This window comes from Homo sapiens, chromosome 1, assembly GCF_000001405.40.
Source record: "Homo sapiens chromosome 1, GRCh38.p14 Primary Assembly".
In the NCBI taxonomy this organism is placed as follows: Eukaryota; Metazoa; Chordata; class Mammalia; order Primates; family Hominidae; genus Homo; species Homo sapiens.
Genome location: NC_000001.11, coordinates 115,178,435 through 115,184,591, shown reverse-complemented (window position 1 = coordinate 115,184,591; position 6,157 = coordinate 115,178,435). Strand labels below are relative to the sequence as shown.

The 6,157-nt window shown below is 45.3% G+C and overlaps 3 annotated features.

Moving 5' to 3' along the window:
* Nucleotides 4,133-5,332: an enhancer, noted in NCBI's record as "BRD4-independent group 4 enhancer chr1:115721881-115723080 (GRCh37/hg19 assembly coordinates)". NCBI's record gives its function as "activates an origin of replication core promoter dependent on BRD2, P300/CBP, MED14 and CDK7 cofactors, and independent of BRD4, by STARR-seq in HCT116 cells {active_cell/tissue: HCT116}" and the evidence as "EXISTENCE:reporter gene assay evidence [ECO:0000049][PMID:35650434]".
* Nucleotides 4,133-5,610: a biological region, named in NCBI's record as "BRD4-independent group 4 enhancer GRCh37_chr1:115721881-115723080".
* Nucleotides 5,109-5,610: an enhancer, noted in NCBI's record as "H3K4me1 hESC enhancer chr1:115721603-115722104 (GRCh37/hg19 assembly coordinates)". NCBI's record gives its function as "activates a minimal SCP1, AML or CMV promoter by ChIP-STARR-seq in naive H9 embryonic stem cells {active_cell/tissue: H9 hESC(naive)}" and the evidence as "EXISTENCE:reporter gene assay evidence [ECO:0000049][PMID:30033119]".

Sequence of the window (6,157 nt, the reverse complement as noted above, 5' to 3'; positions counted from 1 at the left end):
ATTTTGTCATTAAGTAGATATGAGAGGGAACTGAAGGCACCAGTATTTCTTTTGCCAAGCATTGTGGAGAGGGTTTCTGGAACCGCTGAAATTCCATTTCTCTCTTCCAGCTGCTGACTATAGGGGCAGCACTCAGTGTCCAAGGATGACACTTTAATACAAATTGAACCTCTGCCATAATGAAACGAGCTGGGTTTTAGGGGTGATTTGTTTAAAAGCCACATCATAAATCAGCTGTCAGTTTTTCTTTCTTCCAAGTCTGGCAGGCTCACCTTTACACTGAATTAATCGCATCTGAAACTTGACCTTCCAGCCCTGAAGCCTGCTGGAAACAACATGTGCTCTACAACTTTCAGTCGAAGCAGCAAGAACTTAAATTGTTCCACATTTTTAATAAATGGGCCTGGAATCCACGGGGCGACTCCCATTGACCTAGTTGCTCAACATATTGATCAAATGAAAAGGATAGAGTCATGTTTGCAATGACCAGATTTAGAAGATCATTTACTGACACTGGCAGGACCAAGCATGGACAAAACTGATTCATGATCTTAAGCACAATGAGAGTGAGTCCCAGCCTGAAGAAAAGCCCAGAAACATTACATTCATTGCCAATAACAGCTTGACTGGGTAGGGGGTGGGGAGTGGGGATAAGTGGAAGTGAAGAGAGGAAGGAGGGAAGGCATGCAGGAGCACCCGCCAGGGAGGGGAAGTTAGCTGAAGCCTTCTCAAAGGAGCCGGGGCTCTGGGACTCCTTCCAGCTTCTTGCTCCTCTGATGCTAAAAAGCGAAATTTGATTGCTCGGGAAAAAGTAACTTCGGAGCTGGTTGTCACAGGGCCTAGGAGTTCATGCTGTAAGTTGGCCCTAATAAGAAGCCCCCGGCACTGTGCTAACCACTGGACTTAATGATAACACAGATAAGGGCCTTGCAATCTTGGGGGAAGAAAACATGAAAATCGATTTTGGTTTTTAATATGATGAATGGCTGCTACAGGCCTGTACTAGATTCAGGGATACAATAGGGAGAAAGATACACAGCCCCTTCCCCACAAGATACTTACAGTCGAGCTGGGGAGATGGATATAAAACACAAAGCGTGATGGGGTTTGTGGGAAGGCTTCACGGGAGCCCATAAGAAGACCCCAGGCTTGGGAGCACAGGGACTTCTTACCAGGAGAAGGATGTTTAACTGGTTTTTTTGAGGATGGGCAGCAGTTCACCACATGGGGCTGCGGGGCCAAGGAAATTGGGGTCAGAGGAGGGCGCCAGTGTCACACACAGAGGGACTAGGTATGAAAGCTCAGAGGGAAGGGAAGGCCTAGTGCACCTGTGAAACTAAGAGGACACAGTAAGACTGGGGCATAGAATTCGGCAGCTGAGGGGGTCAGAGATAAAGCTGGACAGCCAGCAGAGCCACCTGGACCACACATGGCAGGAATTTAAATAGAGGGGTGCACAGATGAGGGAGTGATGGAACTTACTGAGGGTGGCTGGAAAACGCTTTGACCAAAATAAAAGCCTCTTAAAGGATGATTAGGGACTTACCAGAAGAAGCGAGGCCATTCCAGGCAGAGGAAACAATATATGCAAAGGTATTTTGGCACTTTGAAAATTAACCCTATTCTCTCTCCTATCCCGAGTAGGGTCCAAGATGAGCAACACACCCTCTACCAGACTCTCCTCTGTAAAGTCATATCAAGGCTCAAGATTGTGAAGCTTCAACCTCCAAAAAGAGTGGAGGGAACCAAGAATAAGCAACGCTTGCTACATAGACCAGGGACCCTCCTGCTAAGGAAGGCCTGCGTTCCAAAACCAGAAACATAACCCAGCCAATTGGAAAAACTTTGGAGGAACCAGGAAAATTATCACCTCCTAGGGGAGGTTCCTGTAAGCATCTATTGCTTATCGTTAATAATGTAGAAATACCCTCAAAACAAGGATTTCAGAAATTATGCCAACTCAGTAAGCAACACCTACCATATGCCAGGCCCTGAACGGTAAGTGCTCCACAAGCACCATCCCATCAATCCTCTAGTCACCCCCATGACACGTAAGTGTTCCCATTACTTTCCGGATGAGTAAGCTGAAGTTAAATACCATGCCCAATGTCTCAGATGGTTGGTAAATGGCAGCTGGGGGAAGGACCAGGACTCTGTGAGCCACACTTCCCCACACTGTGCCCTGCTGTTCCCCTAGGTGATAACCACTCTCCCTGATGCCGCTGAGGAAAATAACATGGACAACAGCAAGAGAAAAATTATTTTTTATTAAACAATTTTTTATTTAAAAAATATTTTTTAATAATTATTTTTAAAAATAATTATTTAAATATATTTTTAAATAATTATTTTTTAAAAATATTTAAATAATAAATTTAAATATAATTTAATTATTTAATTTAAATTAAATTATTTAAATACATTATATTTAAATAATTGTTTTAAAATATCTATCTAAATATATTATTTTTAAAAATATTTTTTATCTTAAAAAATTTTTATTTAAAACAATTATTTTTTGTTATTTATTATTTATGGTACACAAATACGTGTGTACCAAAGCGATGACTGTGAGGTTTACCTGAAGTTAAAGTCTTTACCCTTCTCGGGCAACAACTGGCAGCCAAATCTCCTCAGCTTCCTAAAGATAAAGCTATCTTTTCCAGGAGGCATCCAGACCATCTTACGTGGGAGGCCCCTTCATATACCTTTTCTTGAGTGATCCCCAATGTTCCCATATTACAGGTAGGGAAGTCAAGATTTGGAGCTAAGTATCTTTTCCAAGGTCTCACTACTATTAAAGCGGTGGAGCCAGGACTCAACCTAGGAGCTATCTGACTTTAGGAACTAAATCTTTCCATAACATCACACCTCATCACAGCATAGTCCAAAGGGAATCAAGCATGTTCACAGGAGGAGACACTTTGAAGCCAGTGGAAGAAAGCTAAGGACTCATTTTGCAAGGCCTCTCACAAAGAAAAAATGTACTTTACAAGAATGCTGACATATCTATTCTGCCAAATACAGGTTCTTGTGGGGTGGAGGGGAACTAACTGACAGTTATCAATGCCAAAAGAGAGAGAAAGGCCATCTGCAGATGAATACAATGCTTGCTCTGCCCGCCAAACTTACAGTTAAACTTTCCACTCTTAGATGCCATTGTTAGAAAGTAATTCTTACGCTGCGGATTCTTCATAAGACTACACAAATAAAGGACGGGGGAGGATGGGTCCCAAGGGCCTAGAATGGAATAATGAGATAGGTTACTTGGAGAGGAGGGCCAGAGGATGGGGAAGGAGTAGCCCATCTGTGTGGACTTGTAAGATGAAAGCTTTGTTGTATTTTATCCCAAATTTATAGACTCTCAAGCTGCCTGTAATCCTGTTCAGAGTACTGAGAGGTGATGTCAGAGAAAGAGCACTGGGTAGAACAGGGACCTGTGTTCCAGTCTCGGTCTTGCCACCATTTCAGGAAAGTCACAGAAGCTCCTCTATCTCTCATTTTCTTTGCCTATTACCTGAGGAAATTGGATTAAATGAGCTCTGAGACCCCTCCAGCTCAAAAGCATGTGATCATAATTCTAGCACCCTTCTCTCATCACATTCTTGGAATAGGCAGCAGAGGTGGGGCTCATCTAAAAGAGTAGCCCACTAAACCAGGACCATGAGGAGATATTATTAAAGGGCTTGGAGCCTGATGAGAAATCATATCTATATCACAGCCTTGCCGCAATCCATCCTTCAGTCCATCACAAGCCCTGGTCACTCGGCCCCCACAATACTGAGTTCTCTACTTTTATTGAATCTGCACCCACACACTGTTATCTAGATCTTGTCCCTTCCTTCTGCTGCCAGCCTGTACCTGCTGTGCTCCGATGAGGTTTGGGGTCTTGGAAAGTCAAAAGATGAAGAACCCCTGATCTCAAAATGAGGATGCTCCCAAGAGGGCAGAGAACTCACCCTAGGGTTGGAACAATATGTACAAGTCATTAAGAGCAGCAGGTTTTAGGGTGAAACAGAACTGCCTCTTAAAAGCTTAAAAGCTGTGGGATCTTAGGCAACTTTTCTGAGCCTAAGTTTCCTGACCTGTAAAGTAATAATGATGTTAATACAATCTGATATTAAATATCTGATGAAACTCTATCTCACAGAGCTACTATGATCATCAAATTGCACATAAAACACAGGCTCACTAAATGGGGTGACTGTTGTCCCAGGGTGAGTCCATGGACAATCTCCAGGAGTCTTGGTGCAGGGCTGGGTGCCTCTGCATGTGTGTGAAACTCAGTACAAACACGCAAGCGGCCCTTTAGCTATCAAAACACTCCCACATTACTACCCACGTAGTGGAAGGAAGCAGACTTACTCTCTTCAGGCAGCAGGAAAAATGAAGCAGGTACGTAGGAGAAGATCCGGCTGCTCAGGCCAGACCAGGAAACTAGGGAGCCGACCAGTCACCACCAGGAAGTGTGGACTGGGTGAGAGATGGGGGTCCAAAGAGGTGTCTCTTTCCTGATTGAACCAACTTCCACATAAAGTGTGTCAGAAACAGTCACCAAGAGGCAATTGCAGCTCCTGCAGGGCAGGGATCATTTCTGGTGCATTGCAGTGTCCTCAGTGCCCAGCATGGAGCCGAGGCATTGTAGACACCAACCAAAAATGTGTGTAGTGGATACACAACTAGAACGGAGAGGCTGCTGGAACAGAAATCCCAGTGAGTAAGCCAAGTGTGTGCTGAGAACATTAATATGGCTGGCTCGGCCTTCAGACCAGGGGTGTCCTAGAGGTTGGGATGACCTGGAGATCTAAAGATAACCCTCTGAAAAACCAGACCAAAGAGAGGGTCAGTCTGTGAGTCACCTGTCCCTCAAACCCAGGCCTGCGGAGGGAGCTAAGGAATTTATAACTGAGTCAGCGGTTATCTACGTGGCTGCATTCTGAGTCACCGCCTGGCCCCAGTGGGCCTGCTCTCCTGGGTGAGGGCTGTGGAGTGCGCTCGTGGGTGTCTTTATCTACACCGCACACTCAGTGGACTCCACCAAATGCAGTGACTCAGGGCTCCCCTCACGTTTCACTATGGTCTGTCACCACACTGTCCTGTCACGCTGCCCTGGCTCACTGCTTGCTGCCTTGCCCACAGAGGTGAAGCCCAGCCTGCCCCTGGTGTGTCAGGCCAAGAGCTCTGCTTCCTAGCCAGGCCTGTCAGCTATCAGCAACCGCACTTCCACCTCACCAGGAGCACCCAGGTGAGATGGGGCTCAGGACCAAGGCTGAGCAGTGCGCCCCACCCCAAGCCCTACCACAGGTCTTCCTCATGAAGCCTCTCTCCTCTGGCTTCTTTTCCCCTCACTGCCACCATGTTTTTGTCAACTCACAGGGGATAACTGCAAAAAAGGCAGTTCCCTCCCTACCTTTTGCAATTTATTATTAGAAAACTCTTGAAGGCCCCAAAGCCTTCCCAATTCTCCTCCCCCAATCCCATAAAATAATTCCTAGTAAATTGTTATTCACCTCTGAAATTGTTCCTTACATTATTACCAGATCAACTTTCCTCAGACGTAGCTCACTGCTCAAAAACCCCCATCTCATACTGAATTCAGTCCCTGTAAATGTCTTCAGGACCCCTAGAAATGTCTTGTCCCTGACACTGGACACTTTGTTGCCAGCTGAACGTAGGGTGGGAGGGACAAGCTTCCGGAAGCCATGTCTGTACAAAGTGGCCCTGGCCACAGCTCAGTGGTCCAGGGCTGAACCCCTGACCTGACCCAGGACAGCCTGAATCTCACCTGGGAAAACACTGAATAGAGGCTCAGCAATTCCAGTCTCGGTGTGGACCAAAGCCTTCAACAAGTAAGACATAAAAACTGTGGAGTTGTGGGAGCCATTTTTCCCTTGACATGACCAGGAAAGCTCAGAAGGCAAATCACAGTGAGGGAGGAAAGAAGCTGACATGTGCAGTGAAGTGGATACGGAAGAAAAAATATCCCCCAGTCCCTTACAGTCCCCAGGGACCTGTGCTACCCCAAAAGAACTTTCCCCAATTTTAATATATAGACATATAGGGCAGTAGATGAGATAGGTAAATGTCCACTTACAATAGAACATTTAATTAGAAAAATATTTGAAATCACACAGTATATAAAATGATATATTTTAAA